Source organism: Homo sapiens, chromosome 17 (assembly GCF_000001405.40).
Source record: "Homo sapiens chromosome 17, GRCh38.p14 Primary Assembly".
In the NCBI taxonomy this organism is placed as follows: domain Eukaryota; kingdom Metazoa; phylum Chordata; class Mammalia; order Primates; family Hominidae; genus Homo; species Homo sapiens.
The window spans coordinates 44,918,165-44,918,718 of record NC_000017.11 but is presented as its reverse complement, the minus strand read 5'-3'; positions in this window follow the sequence as shown (position 1 = coordinate 44,918,718).

Below are 554 nucleotides of genomic sequence, written 5' to 3'. Positions count from 1 at the left end.
CCCAACAGTTCGAGACCAGCCTGGGCAACATGGCGAAACCTTGTCTCTAGTAAAATACAAAAATGAGCTGGGCATGGTGGTGTATCTCTGTGGTCCCAGCTACTAGAGAGGCTGAGGTGGGTGGATCGCTTGAGCCAGGGAGATTGAGGCTGTAGTGAGCTGTGATAGCACCACTTCACTCTAGCCTGGGCAACAGAGCAAGACCCTGTCTCAAAAAACAAAAACAAGATAGTTAAGGGTTGAGTGTGAGGAAAGGTCTGAGGGTTGAGAAGGGGTGGAGGATGCACCTGGGCCTATGACAGGGGTCCACGGAGGTGGCTGATGGCAAAAGCTGGGGGACTCCAACTGCTGATGCTGAAACAAGCTTGTGTCTCACATACACAGGGACAGTTCACTGAGCTTCAATGACAGGCACCTCCTGCTCATCACATCTTTTCTCTCTAGGACAGCTTTGCCCTTATTTTAACTAGACTTCCCTTGAACCAAAAGGGAAGGCTACATGCTGTGACTTGCTGGGCAGCCTGGAAAGGCGGGCCACTCCTAGCCACAGAGAT